This window comes from Homo sapiens, chromosome 6 (assembly GCF_000001405.40).
Source record: "Homo sapiens chromosome 6, GRCh38.p14 Primary Assembly".
NCBI lineage: Eukaryota > Metazoa > Chordata > Mammalia > Primates > Hominidae > Homo > Homo sapiens.
Window position 1 is genome coordinate 150,737,671 of NC_000006.12, and position 14,870 is coordinate 150,752,540.

General features: G+C 42.4%; 1 protein-coding gene and 1 long non-coding RNA gene across 11 annotated transcripts in view, besides 2 other annotated features; one reads left to right on the plus strand and one right to left on the minus strand.

Annotated features, from left to right (window-relative positions):
• The window catches only part of PLEKHG1 (pleckstrin homology and RhoGEF domain containing G1), a 243,781-nt gene that overhangs the window by 137,786 nt on the left and 91,125 nt on the right, over positions 1-14,870 (plus strand). The window lies entirely within an intron of this gene.
• Positions 1,995-8,306, minus strand: LOC124901430 (uncharacterized). The gene is made up of 3 exons (XR_007059811.1): positions 8,184-8,306; positions 7,087-7,229; positions 1,995-5,272 (listed from the first exon to the last, which is right to left on the minus strand). It is a non-coding gene; the product is annotated as an uncharacterized LOC124901430 (long non-coding RNA).
• Positions 4,322-4,822: an enhancer, noted in NCBI's record as "H3K4me1 hESC enhancer chr6:151063128-151063628 (GRCh37/hg19 assembly coordinates)". NCBI's record gives its function as "activates a minimal SCP1, AML or CMV promoter by ChIP-STARR-seq in primed H9 embryonic stem cells {active_cell/tissue: H9 hESC(primed)}" and the evidence as "EXISTENCE:reporter gene assay evidence [ECO:0000049][PMID:30033119]".
• Positions 4,823-5,323: an enhancer, noted in NCBI's record as "H3K4me1 hESC enhancer chr6:151063629-151064129 (GRCh37/hg19 assembly coordinates)". NCBI's record gives its function as "activates a minimal SCP1, AML or CMV promoter by ChIP-STARR-seq in primed H9 embryonic stem cells {active_cell/tissue: H9 hESC(primed)}" and the evidence as "EXISTENCE:reporter gene assay evidence [ECO:0000049][PMID:30033119]".

Genomic DNA, 14,870 nt, shown 5'->3' on the forward strand with positions numbered 1-14,870 from the left:
GTTGTAAATGACTTCTCTAATGTTCTCCATTTTTCAAATGCAAAATTTTAAATTAAGAAAAGTGCTGCTCATTGACAGCCTACTATGATAAAACTTTTACCCTGCCTAAAAGACGGACTTTTTTTTAGTTGGCTCTTTATTTATCTATTTTGAATAAGCATCTCACCCTATCACCCAGGCTAGAGTGCAGTGGCACGATCATGACTCACTGCAGCCTCGACCTCCTGGGCTCATGCAATCCTCCTGCCTCAGCCTCCCATGTATCTAGGACTACAGGTGCACACCACCACACCTTGCTAAGTTTTTTTTTTTTTTTTAATTTTTGTAGAGACAGGATCTCAATATGTTGTCCAGGCTGGTCTCAAACTGCCAGCCTCAAGAGATCCCTTTGCCTCAGCCTCCCAAAATGGTGAGCTTACAGGTGACAGCCACTGAGCCCAGCCTTAGCTGGCTCTTTCCAAGCAAAAATAATTTCTGGGGGAAAAGAAGCTCGTCTAATTGAAGTCACTTTTAATTTCTACAGTAGCATGATTTCTGACTTTGTACACTCTGCTTTATTGAATCTCCTCCCAACTTAATTACCCCCATTAGTAGTACATTTTATCTGCATGCCGTATAGATACATAATCCTTACCACTCAAGTTTAGATTTCATTTTTACGACTTGTGAACAGCAACATTTTTGTGTATACACCGAGTTAAAAAACATGAGCAGGAATGATGATTTGACATTTCAACACAGTCGCAAATATCAGAGCAGCTTATTTCTGAGAAGAGATCCTCCTAACCCCAGTTGAGCAATAGGATTCCCAGATGTTGGTTACACATGTAAAGAGTGTGTTATGCCCTTCTTTCCCATATGTGGAGACATCGTATTAAAATAATCTCACATATTTAGGTATCTTTCTTTCCTATGCCATTTAGGAATTCAGAAATGAATTCCTAATGCTTTCTGAAAGTTGAACCCCAAAATGTGGTGGTTCTTATTCCTGTTGCTCTTCATTCTTCCCCAGATCCTTCTCTCTCAACCCCTGTCCCCTCCCCAGCCGTGGCTCTTCCGTCCTCTGCTCCTAGTCATTTACTTTTGTACACTTGACATTTTAGAGAAAGAGGTAAGATCTTGACTGTGAACCGTAGTCAAAGGAACAATGGAGCTGTTATTTCTATTTTATATATGCCCCTAACTGCATTCACAGATAAAATGAGATGATAAATATGAAAGCAAGTTTTAAAAGTTAAATTGCCAATGATACAATTTGTGGAGAGATAGAAATCCATAGTTGGAAAGCAGAAAATAAGGGTTTGTTTAATGTTTAATGGGACCTTCGATTGACTGGGCACGGGCTGTCAGGGGTAGGGTGGGTGTCTTTAATCTTTCTAAATGATCTATAAAAGAGCTTTTGAGAACCTCATAAGATTTGGCCTCAGATATAGTTCACGGCCTGTTGTAACCTGTTAGTAAAGTTTTAAAATAGTTCATAATGTTAATGCTGTGTAATTAGAAGTTACATTTCTACTACAGAATGGCATCGTTGAGCTCTGAGAGATACTAAATTAAGCCATATTTGGTGATATTGAGGACATTTAGTGAAAAAAGGGGCTGAATTGTTAATTACAACGTGATTTTATCTCTTTCCATTATATGCCAGAGAGCTAATATCCTTTTCATGGACCTTTATCCATAAAGTGTATTTTAAAAAAAAAGCTAAGTAATGGGGCCAGGAGCAGTGGCTCATGCCTGTAATCCCAGCACTTTGGGAGGCCGAAGTAGGCAGATCACTTGAGGTCAGGAGTTTGAGACCAGCCAGGCCAACATGGTGAAACTCCATCTCTACTAAAAATACAAAAATTAGCTGGGTATGGTGGTGCATGCCTGTAGTCCCAGCCGCTTAGAAGGCTGAGGCAGGAGAATGGCTTGAACCTAGGAGGCGGAGGTTGCAGTGAGCCGAGATCGTGCCATTGCATTCCAGCTGGAGCAACAGAGTGAGACTCTGTCAAAAAAAAAAACAAAAAAACAAAAAAAACCATAAGTATTCTAGCCTTGATGTTCAAAATTTAAACAGCAGAAGCATAAGCATATCTTTATGGGAAGCATTCAGCATTATTCAAAACTGTAGCTAAACAAGGATTAGAATGGTGATCACCAACCCCAAGCTCTGTGTTCGTTAGTCTATGTGGACTCTTTGTTTATTGAGTGATCGTACAGACAGTGTCAGGGAAGATAAAAGAGAGAAGGGTGTTTTTCACACACTTAGTGCCCTGAAACACATTGAAAGCTATTCTCCCCACTGCCATAGCCTAGAAGAGGCTTCTCTTTGTACTGGTGATATCCAATTAATTGAAAACTGTCTTATGCTGGGGAAGCAAACCTTCTCCAAAATTTGTGCAGAATGAAAGAAGGAAATCCAGGATTCAGGCCCAGAGAGCTTGTGCAGTGATTTCAGCACATACTCTGCCTGGACACTTAGCTCTTAGCCCTGTGAGATGTCTGTGACTTGGATGAAATGGAATCTGAGTTGGCTTTTGTCCTGGGGGCACCCCTCCCTTGAGGACAGTACTGTCAAGTGTGGAGGTGGTTTCTGATTAAGCCTGTCTTCCCATTGATCCTGCTAGAGAGACAAAATTGTTTGGTATGGAAAGGGCAGTGTGCATCTTACTCTTTTTCCTTAGCCATAGTGGAATGGTTGTGCATAGGCATTCCCTGGCCCAGCCTTACCTGCTTAGGATGCTGGACTAAAAGAGGCAGGTTTTGCACCAAGAAAGAAGGCTGTTGAGAAGAGGGGAATTGTCGCAGATTTTATTGTCTTTTTACTTAACAGATATCTTCTCTCCATATTTTCCCTCCAATTTAAATAACATTTATTGGACACTTCTTACAAGGTTCACTTAGACTAACGTTTTTTAAATACCGAGGGAGAAAAATGTGTTCCATGCTCAAGCGTAGGAGTTGGTAGGGATTGTTTTAAATGAAGGCTCGTTATGTGGGTGGATTTAATAAGGAACTTACACTGTGGTACTTGGCATCATTTAATGTACTTTTTTATGAGGCATTTGAGCACTTTTATGTGAATGTGTCTATTTTTTTCCTCCAAGGGATTTTATCGTAACGGGTGAATGAGATCTTTCTTAAAACCATTTAATATCTATGATAATTTGGAGACAAACGTGTTAGTTTTCTGCTTATTTCGGAGTCACTCCTTAAATAGTACATCTAATCATTTTACATAATCTCTCAAAAATCTCACTTTGACTACATATTTCCATATCTCTGTGTTATTGTTGTTGTTATTATGACCCCTTATTCCCCACCTTACCTTAACCTTACTCTCGTCTTTCACCACCTCAACAACAGCAGCACAAACCTAGAAGGTGGCAACAGTGAGTGATTTTGAGTGTTCATATCTTCATACTGCAACCTGATCTGGGAAGGAGGGCAGGGAGAACTGATCTTTCACTTCTTTTCATTTCTAATGGGTTTGCCCATTTTGAATGTGATATAAATACCTGCTGATTGATTGCTAATGACCAATGAAAACAGTTCAAGGTGGGCAGCATTCGGTGAGAGCAAAATGAGTTGAGATTTGCAGAGTTGCTCTGCAAAAGTAGCTGTCGGCTGAACACAAGAGTTCATGTGTACTTTGTGACTGATGTCAGGTTGGGTTATTTGCTCCAAACTTTTATGGCTAGATCTTGAGTCAAAATGTAGGCAATGAGTGTCTTGTGACATCTTAAGTTTTGTAACCATCCCCATCACCTCAATAGATTCCCGCAGCTATAAACATACTATTCAGCTACCATTTCTAAATTTTCTAGATAGACGCCTCAATAATACAAAAACACTAAAAAATAACATTAGCAGCAATTAATATTTGAGCACTTACCATGTATCAGGCACTAGGCACTTAATTTGCTCACTCACTGTCCCATCATGTGGGTACTAGTTTAATTCCTATTTTAGCATGAGAATATTGAATGTACAGAGGACAAAGTGACTTATCCCCCAGGTCACATAGTTGGCTAGTGGTTGAGCTGGAACTGAAAAGCAGGCCTTTCTCCGAAACCCACTGCTTTCACTGCATACCTCCCCTTTGACTATAACAGAAGGTTCAAAGTTCAGCCCTCTTCTTAATCTCTCTAGAGCAGGCACCAGCAGTACCATAGACGTTCTGGACTGCATAGTTCTTGGCTATGAGGGAGAGTTGTGTACGTTGTAGGAACGTTTAGCAGCAAGGCTGACTTCTATCCATTAGAAGCTAATAGAACCACCACCGTCCCCACTTGTGACGACCAAAAATGTCTCTAGCCATTGCCAAGTGCCCCCTGGAGGACAAAATTGTCCCTGGTTGAAAATGACAGCTTTAAATATCTGGAACACATAGTGTTTCATTAAGGATAGGCTAAGCCACAGTAACTATATTAGGCCATTCTTGTGTTGCTATAAAGAAATACCTGAGACTGGGTAATTTATGAAGAAAAGAAATGTATTTGGCTGATGGTTCTGCAGGCTTTACAGGAAGCACAGTAGCATCTGCTTCTGATGAGGTCTCAGGAAGCCTCCAACCATGGCAGAAGGCGAACAGGGAGTAGGCATGACACATGTCAGGAGAGAACGTGGTGGCCAGGTGCAGTGGCTCACGCCTGGAATCCAGCACTCGGGGAGGCCGAGGTGGGCGGATCACGATGTCAGGAGTTCAAGACCAGCCTGGCCAACATGGTGAAACCCTGTCTCTACTAAAAGTACAAAAATTAGCCGAGTGTGGTGGTGTGCACCTGTAATCCCAGCTACTGGGGAGACTGAGGCGGGAGAATCAGTTGAACCTGGGAGGCAGAGGTTGCAATGAGCCAAGATAGCGCCATTGCACTCCAGCCTAGGCAATAGAGTGAGACTCCATCTCAAAAAAAAAAAAAAAAAAAAAAAAAAAAGAGCGCAGGGAGGGCCCGCACACTCAACCAGATCTTACGAGAGCTCACTCACTGTCCTGAGAAATCCGCCCCCATGATCCAGTCACCTCCCACCAGGCCCCACCTCCAACACGGGGAATTACATTTCAATATGAGGTTTGGGCGGGGACACAGATCCAAACTATATCAGTAACATACAGATCTCCAAATCTAGTGACTTCACCCAAGTTTCTTTCTTTGTCCTGTAACCATCCTTTGCAAGTGTTCAGGTGAGGAGGAGCAGCACTCCTCCATGCAGTCATTCAAGGACCCAGGCTGAGGAGGCCTTGCTGTCTTCAGGACATGGCTTCTGAGGTTGCCATCCCAGTCAACTAGACGGGCAAGGAGACATGGAGATACATACGGGGAAGGTTTCTGAGACAGACAGAACTGATGCACATCCCTTTTCTCAAACTCCCAATGAGAATCTTGTTACCTGGCTACATCCTATAAGGGAGGATGGGAGGTGCAGTCTAGCCGTGTGTCCAAAGAAGGTAGGAAACAATTTTTGTAAACAACCTGCAGTTTCTGGCATGCATTATGTATAACAAAGCCATTCTCATTGTAAAACCTATCATTTAGTGATGGTGTATCCCCCACCACCCTCACTAAAAATAAAAAGGAAGAGGCTGGGTGTGGCGGCTCATGCCTGTAATCCCAGCACTTTGGGACAGCCAAGGCAGGCAGGTCATTTGAGGTCAGGAGTTCAAGACCAGCCTGACCAGCATGGTGAAACCCTGTCTCTACTAAAAATCCAAAAAAAAAATTAGCCGGAAGTGGTGGTGCATGCCTGTAGTCCCAGCTACTCAGGAGGCTGAGGCAGGAGAATCACTTGAGCCCGGGAGGTGGAGGTTGCAGTAAGCTGAGATTGCATCACTGCACTCCAGCCTGGGCAACGGAGCAAGACTCCATCTCAAAAAATAAATAAATAAGGAAGAAAGTAAGAAAGATTTTGGTGGTGCTTACCTGCTGAGATGAACATTACTGTCTCTACTAAATAACCTCATAAAATGTTTTAAATGCATTCTTTATTTAGGGCTTCAGACCAATGTATCTCCTACTGTTCCTCTCTCCCTTCTTCTATGTCTCCACCCCTATTCCCTACCCTTTCTCCCATCATTCCTGATTACCTCCCACCCCCTCCTTTTTTTTCTACTCATTCCAGTTCATTTGACCTGCCAGTAGGGCTCTGTGAAATTATTTAACACCATAGTTAGTGTTTCAGGCTAATAAATATTGGGTCTAGCCTAGTTCAAAGGCAGGGATTGTGCTTATCTTGGTAGCATTCTGAAAACCTTGTGAGTGGGAGGGAATCAATAAGGGTAATGGACGAAAGCCATCAGATACCTAATAGAACGATGCTTGGAAGCTGAAGGTTCATTGTCACATTGATAAAGTTTGTAAGAAAACTGAATGCCCTCCCTTGTACTGCCTCGCCCTTCATCTTACTTTTTATTTTTTATTTTTGTTGTTGTTGTTGTTGAGATGGAATCTCGCTCTGTCGCCCAGGTTGGAGTGCAGTGGCACAATCTCTGCTCACTGCAAGCCCCGCCTCCCGGGTTCAAGTGATTCTCCTGCCTTAGCCTCCCAAGTAGCTGGGACTACAGGTGCATGCCACCGTGTTCAGCTAATTTTTGGTATTTTTAGTAGAGATGGGGTTTCACCGAGTTAGCCAGGATGGTCTCAATCTCCTAACCTCGTGATCTGCCTGCCTCGGCCTCCCAAAGTGTTGGGATTACAGGTGTGAGCCACCGCGCCTGGCCCCTGCCCTTCTTTTAACCTCATTTCTGTAGCCATTCCAAGAAGCCAAAATGAGAACGTGGGCACCAGAAGAAAAAGTAGGCAGTTAAAAAAAACAAATTATTAAAAAATTTTTACTGCATTTTTAAGACTTGCACTCCCCAAATCAACCCACATTGTTGTGGATGCTTTTCCATAAGAAATTGAAGTCAGCTCACATCTTTTCAGAGGTGGACTTTTAGAGAACAAATTTACATTGTTAACCTTTACTTGTGGTACAGTTTTCAAATTACCAAGAACTTTGTGGCCATAGTGTAATCACTTCTTGGTATGATAATTATGAATGTGGTGACATCCCTCAGTGTCACCCTGAGAAACACTAAATCTCAGATAATGGCAAGGTCACCTTTGAATTCCTGACAATCTTGACTGGCTTCTTGAAACTTGGAGCTGGGACAAATAGTTGAGTCAGTCCAAGGAAATCCGGGATATATGTGGTCCCAATCAGGCTTTGTAGGCCATTCTTCCCCGGTTGCAAGAATGCATGATCTGAAAATATATTATACACAGGGATTGTTTTTACTCCCATATCAAATGTCTAAGACCCAAGAAGGAGAGTATAGATGATAGAGGGAAAGAGCTATGTGAGTTTCAAAGTACCTATGATCAGTCCTGCAGTAATGCAGCCATGTGTCACTTAATGACAGCAATGTGTTCTGAGAAATGTCAGGTGATTTTACCATTATACAGGCATCATAGAGTTTACTTACAAAACCTAGATTGTACAGCCTACCACACACCTAGGCTATATGGTATAACCCTTTGCTTCTAGGCTACAAACCTATACAGCATCTTACTATACTGAATAATGTAGGCAACTAAAACACAATGGCATTTGTGTATCTAAGCACAGAAAAGGTACAGTGAAAATGCAGTATTATAATCACATGGGACCATCATATCTGCAGTCCATCAGTGACCAAAACGTCGTTTTGTGGTGCTTGAACTCTATGACGCATAACATATGTGTTCTCAAAAATCACGCACTTTGGCCAGCCACAGTGGCTCATGCCTGTGGCTCATGCACTGTGGGAGGCCGAGGCAGGTGGTTCACTTCAGGTCAGGAGTTCAAGACCAGCCTGGCCACCATGGTGAAACCCCGGCTCTACTAAAAATACAAAAATTAGCTGGGTGTGGTGGCAGGCACCTGTAATCCCAGCTACTCAGGAGGCTGAGGCAGGAGAATCGCTTGAACCTGGGAGGCAGAGGTTGCAGTGAGCCTAGATCACGCCGCTGCACTCCAGCCTGGGTGACAGAGCGAGACTCCATCTCAAAAAAAAAAAAAAAGCAAAATCACATGCGGAGAAAAATGGGGTACCAAGAACAACACTCAAAAATTCATCCATGACACATATAGAAAAAAAGTCAAAAATGGAGGCATAGTTTTATACATGACAAATGATTAAGACATACATACATGCTATAGTAAATAGGGAACTTCACCTTGAAAAAGATTTGAAGTTTATGGAAGCCACCAGCTGCCCACACCGGCCACCCTGGAGAACAAAAGGAAGCAAGAGAGGGAGAAAAAGATTAAAAGAATAGAGAACAAAGAAGAAAAATATAAGATAGACTGAGAGGAAAGAGAAAATTAAAGAGGGGAGGCTGTGGGCAGAGCTGCAGCTTATGCCTTGTCAACGGGGAGGGTCACCTGCCACGGGCTGGGAGTTGACAGACTGATGTGAATGGGCCAGGTTCCAAATGCACTCAGGGGAGACCAAGATAGCCGCTAGGTTGTCGGGAGCCTTCGTGTTTTGTTCCTATGCTGCTGTCACTAGATGCAATTTTCTGCATTCACCCAGTGTTTCTCATGGGTGAAATCTTGCAAAAGCAAAATTCAGAAATGAGAATTATGTTCAAATTGTTCCCTAACATATTAATCTCGTGGGAACAAATTCATGTTTTCAAAACAAACATCATAGCAGAACTGACTGTACCTATTCTTTGGAGTATTATGACTTGTTACAAATAGGTTTCACCGCTTCTTCCTCCCCTTTACTCAGACTAGAAGATTAAAGAGTTCTATGATAGACCCTTGCCAAAAAAACATGGTCTTCCGTTAGTGTTAAATAAGACTAATAAAAACTGCCACAAATATCCTTAATTCACTTTTAATTTCCATCTTATAAGAAAACAAAATGGCTTGAAAGAATTTTAAACTCTTAGTAGTATGAGAGTTGATTTATATTGTTGAAAACTAGCATGATTACTTGTAAATAGTTGTAGGAAGTTTTTTACTGAAAGGATTTGCATAATTTGGTCAAATATTCTTGCATAAACTATAGCATTTGCTATGAATGTGAAACTCTTAGTATGCCAAGGAGACTTAACATATCAGTGAGTTTCTAATGCTAAAATTTCCACCTACATTTGTAGTTTCAGAGTGAGTGCATTAAAGGAGAGGACAGACAGTGTAATGGGAGGGAAGTAGAATATATAGATAGCTGTTATTTTCATGGACATAACTAGGTGAGTTCAGTTCATTTGCAAGCTCAAACACTTTCAAAAATGCCTGTAACTGCAAAGTTCCTTTTTATTCTCTTAGGCTTTGCTTTTAAGGCAACATTTTGACTTTTAATGAACAGGCATTTTAAAAACTTCAGTTAACTCAGGTGATTGAGTAGCTATTATTACTGGTCTGCTGATATATTGCAAAGACCGCCTGTAGGCAAAATTCTATTGGAGATTTGCTAAAACAGGTCTTGTTCGGTTGGGTTAGAATCATGCTGCATTTTAAGTGTGTGCCATCTTGAATATTCAATTATACTGAGTGGGTAGAAAATTATAGAATTCAGAAAATTATCTTCTAAACACACCAGCCTTCAGTTGGGAGAAGTTTCCCATGGCCAGAAATTTCTTCCAAAGTGAAGTGTTACTTGCACCTTCGAAAACTGATCACATTGAAGATTTACCTGGGTCACGTGATAAGCCGAGAGTTAGTGTGACAGTCCAGGCAGCCCTGTTCTGTAACACGTAGAACAGGAAAGACAGCTTGGACTAACTCATGACTTTTTAACCTACATAACTTAGTAGTTAACTGTTTTCTTATCATTTATGTTTCTGATTTTTCCTCTTCCCACTAAGATTGTTTTGCCACTTAAAGGGAATGGCAATTGTTCTAGATAGCAGCTTTCATGAAATTTTTTAAATCCGTTTTTTAAATTGTGGTAACATATACATCAGAATTAACAACAACTTTTGGCCGGGCGTGGTGGCTCACACCTCTGTAACCTCAGCACTTTGGGAGGCCAAGGTGGGTGGATCCCCTGAGGTCAGGAGTTTAAAACCAGCCTGGCCAACATGGTGAAACCCTGTCTCTACTAATAATACAAAAAATTAGCCAGGCGTGGTGGCGCATGTGTGTAATGCCAGCTACTCGGGAGGCTGAGGCAGGAGAATCGCTTGAACTCAGGAGGTGGGGGTTGCAGTGAGCCAAGATCGCACCATTGCACTCCAGCCTAGGCGACAAGAGCGAAACTCCGTCTCAAAAAAAAAAAAAAAGTTAAGCATGCAGTTCAGTGGTACCAAGTACATCAAGTACATTCACATTGTTGTACAACCATCACCACCATGCATCTCCAGAACTTTTCCATCCTCCAAACTGAAATTCCGCACCCAATAAACAATAACTCCCATTCCCCACCCCAGCCTCAGGGAACCAGCTTTCTACTTTCTGTCACTAGGACTTTGACTAATTGAGGTATCCCATATAAGTGTAATCAAACTATCTGTCTTGTTGTGACTAGCTTACTTCACTTAGCATATTATCTTCAAGGTTCATTCATGTGATAGCAAGTGTCCATTGTTTTCCTTCTTACGGCTGAGTAATATTTCATTGTGTGTGTAGATTGCATTTCGTTTATCCATTCATCCATTGATGCACACTTAGGTTACCTCCAATGGCATGGGATTTTCAATTTACTAGAACCACACCAAGTTTTAGAACTGGAAATAACTCAGTTAAATCTCACCATAAATTCTGAAAGAGTAAGGAGTGTTTTATTTGATATTTTATAAAATTTTATATGTTTTATATTCCTCACACTCAGCACTGTCTGACACTTAATAGGCCATTCGTAAATATTTGCTGAGTAAATTTTCTAGTATTTGCTGTCATTTTTATACACAAGGAAATGGAGATCCAGAGATGCCAGTGATTTCTCCAAATGGAAGCAAATCCTGGCTCTCACTTACTACCTTTGACCTTTTTTTTTTTTTTTTTTTTTGAGACGGAGTCTTGCTCTGTCACCTAGGCTGGAGTGTGCAGTGCCACGATCACGGCTCACTGCAACCTCCACCTCCCCAGTTCAAGTGATTCTCCTGCCTCAGCCTCCCCGAGTAGCTGGGATTACAGACGCACCCCCACCATGCCCGGCTAATTTTTTTTGTATTTTTAGTAGAGACAGGGTTTCACCATGTTGGCCAAGCTGGTCTGGAACTCCTGACCTCAAGTGATTTCACCCACCTTGGCCTCCTGAAGTGCTGGGATTACAGGCGTGAGCCACTGCACCTATCTTTGATGTTGAATAATTCCTTCTATGACCTGCAGTTTCTTCATCTTAAAATGGGGGAGATGTTGTGTTCCTTTTAAAATGGTATGAGGATTCAGTAAGTTAATGCACATGAAGTGATTAGCACCGACCTGGCATAACATAAACACTCAACAGCTGATAGCTGCTCACACCCCAGATCCTGCAGCTAAATATTGGCAGTGCCGGGATGCATCCTAGCCCTGCCTCCCAGCCGTTTCATTTGGAGACAACTGGAAAAAACCTGAAACATTTTATTGAGTGCCTCCTACGTGCCAGTTAAGGCGGGTCCTCAAACATACTTGTCAATGAAATTTTCTGGAAACATACTTGATTGCCCAGTTGTCTACATCTCAGCCACTGACCAGGGTGAGATCCAGCGTGGACAGGTGTGAAGGGAAGAGCTGGCCACTTCATCTACGACCAGCTGCCACGTGGTTCAGACAAAACCAGAGCCTTGAGACAGAGGGAAATCTGAGCTAGGGGAACAATTAAGGTCACTTCCTTGGTAATGTTTTGAGATGAGTCTAAAGCAATCTGTGACATTACCCTTTTTTCCCCTAGCAGAAATATAGGTAGCCTTCTGAGGGTGAGAAATTGGCACCCGCTATCCTGTAAGACCACAGAGACTTTCTAGGCTCATCTGTATGTGATAATTAAAGGACCAGTTGATAGTCTGGGACCTGGTTTTGCCACCTCCTGTTCTAAAGTAGGAGCTGGCTCTGAAGTTTCAGGTCCTATGTGAAAAGGGATGAGGAAAAGAAGACTACTGATAAAATACATAAATTTACTTGTATTCAGATTTATCTAGAATGTTCAAGGACTACTTTTGGTAAGAAAATGCACCCAAAGGGCTGGGAGCGGTGGCTCATGCCTGTAATCCCAGCACTTTGGGAGGCCAGGGTGGGTGGATCACGAGGTCAGGAGTTCGAGAACAGCCTGGCCAACATAGTGAAACCCCGTCTCTACTAAAAAGACAAAAATGAGCCGGGCATGGTGGCAGGTACCTGTAGTCCCAGCTACTTGGGAGGCTGAGGCAGGAGAATCGCTTGAAACCAGGAGGCTGAGGTTGCAGTAAGCTGAGATCATGCCGCTGCACTCCAGCCTGGGTGACAGAGCAAGACTCTGTCTCAAAAAAAAAAGAAAATATCTACTAGAAGAACATTTTTACTTCAAAAGGAGGAATAAAGAAAATATTATAATGTCTTTTGTGAGAAATACACAATTAACTGCATCAGTTATATTAATACCAAGGATAGGAAGCCTACATACACCGGTTTAGAGGGGCTATTACTTAAGCGACTAAAGGCTATTGCCTAAGAAATCTGGTTAGGAGGAACAGCTGAAAACTAGGAATCTTTCTAAAGCCGAGGTTGCACATGGGAGTCACCTGGGGAGCTTGTACAATTCCCTCCACCTAAGCTGCACCCTGGGCTAGCGAAATCCCAGTCTCTGGGGCCGGGGTCCGTTTTCCTTGAAGTTCTGCAGATTCCAGTAGACGATCAGTGTTGAGATTTAGTACCCTAACAGGAATGTTTTTTTAATAAAGCAAACAAACTTTTAAAGGCGGCACACTCACGCCTGTAATCCCAGCACTTTGGGAGGCCGAGGCGGGCGGATCACGAGGTCAGGAGATCGAGACCATCCCGGCTAAAACGGTGAAACCCCGTCTCTACTAAAAATACAAAAAAATTAGCCGGGCGTAGTGGCGGGCGCCTGTAGTCCCAGCTACTCGGGAGGCTGAGGCAGGAGAATGGCGTGAACCCGGGAGGCGGAGCTTGCAGTGAGCCGAGATCCCGCCACTGCACTCCAGCCTGGGCGACAGAGCGAGACTCCATCTCAAAAAAAAAAAAAAAAAAAAAAAGGCGGCACAAATTACCTCCTGATCCCCATGGAAAGTAACAAAATGACAGAAAACAGACTTTAAAATCTCCAAGAACTGAATCCAGATCCTGGCCCAGCCATTTCCCTGTTTGACTGGACAAGTTACTAAACTTTTCAATTTGTCAGTGTCTTCATCTGTAACATGGGAATAATAGGATTGTTGCAAAAATTAGATCATCCGTGTACAATGTTGAGCACAATGCTAGGTATAGTAAGCATTCAAATGAGAGATATTCATATAATAGTTGGACAAGACCAATAATTTCTAGTACGTTCTAAAGTATTGTAATATTGTTATGCTTCCTAATCTATGTTAAGGTATTTCAGAAAATTATTTTAACTTTACAAATAAAAAAGATATTTTGTTGCAATTTTAATTTACCTGACGTGTCTTCATGTAGTTGGAATTCATTTCCACTGTAATAGAGGGCTGCAATGGTGGAATGAATACTTTTTTTTTTTTCAGAATTTTGATCTGAGCTGAGTCAAATTGGAGTTAATTTAATGGACAGAGCACACAGGTCTGGGCTTCAGACCCATGCTGACAGTCAGCTGTATGCCCATGGACAAATAACCATTCTGACCTCAGCTTCATCCTCTGTAAATGAGTCTAATTCAAGAAGCATAAGTCTACTGATGACTAGCGATGGCATCTCCACCAGCCTCAGCCCTCAAAAATGCAACCAGGAAATAAGTAAGTCCTTTGAGCAGCCAAAATAGATATTTCAAATGCCCAACAGTGAGGCCTGTGTCTTTCCCCAGGGAGAGGCCCCGAGCTCTCACTAAGAGCCTATTTACCCTACATGTTTAAAATAAGCTTAATTATTTGGTTTCTTAGCCCATGGCAAATGGACGGGGGTAGGAGGAGGTGGATGTGACAGCACCAAGGAGCCAGAGGAAAGAACTCCTTAGTAGTCCAATTAATATAAGGCCATTTGGAAGGGTGAGGACTCACCTTGATCCTCTTGGTAGTTTTTACTTGTGAATTATGGCCCAGAGCAAAACTGAAATCCTTACCGATGAGCCTAAATAGCAAGGGAAATTTGTATAATGTTTGCTGTAGTATCTCAAATATATTGTAGTGGCCGGGCGAGGTGGCTCACGCCCGTAATCCCAGCACTTTGTGAGGTCAAAGTGGCTGATTCACCTGAGATCAGGAGTTCGAGACTAGCCCAGCCGACATGGTGAAACCCTGTCTCTACTAAAAATACAGAAAGCCGGGCATGGTGGAAGGCACCAGTAATCCCAGCTGCTCGGGAGGCTGAGACAGGAGAATCACTTGAACCTGGGAGGCAGAGGTTGCAGTGAGCCAAGATCACACCAATGCACTCTAGCCTGGGCGACAGAGCGAGACTCTGTCTCAAAAAAAAATAAAATAAAATATATTGTCTGTTGGCTGGCCTTCATAAAACAGTAAGTTTTTAATTATAATGAACTTTGTAAAGGTTTTTCATTGTGGGAAGACATACATAACTTAAAACTTATTTTAACCATTTTTACATACATAATTCAGTGGCATTAAGTATATACACAATGTTGCCCAACTATGGCCACTGTCCATTTCCAGAACTTTTTCATCATCCCAACACAGAAACTCTGTACCTGTTAAACACTGACTCCCCATTCCCCTCTCCCCAGCTCCTGGCAACCTCCAGTCTACTTTCTGTCTCTCTGAATTTGCCCACTCTGGATCCCTCATGTAAGTGAAACCTTACAG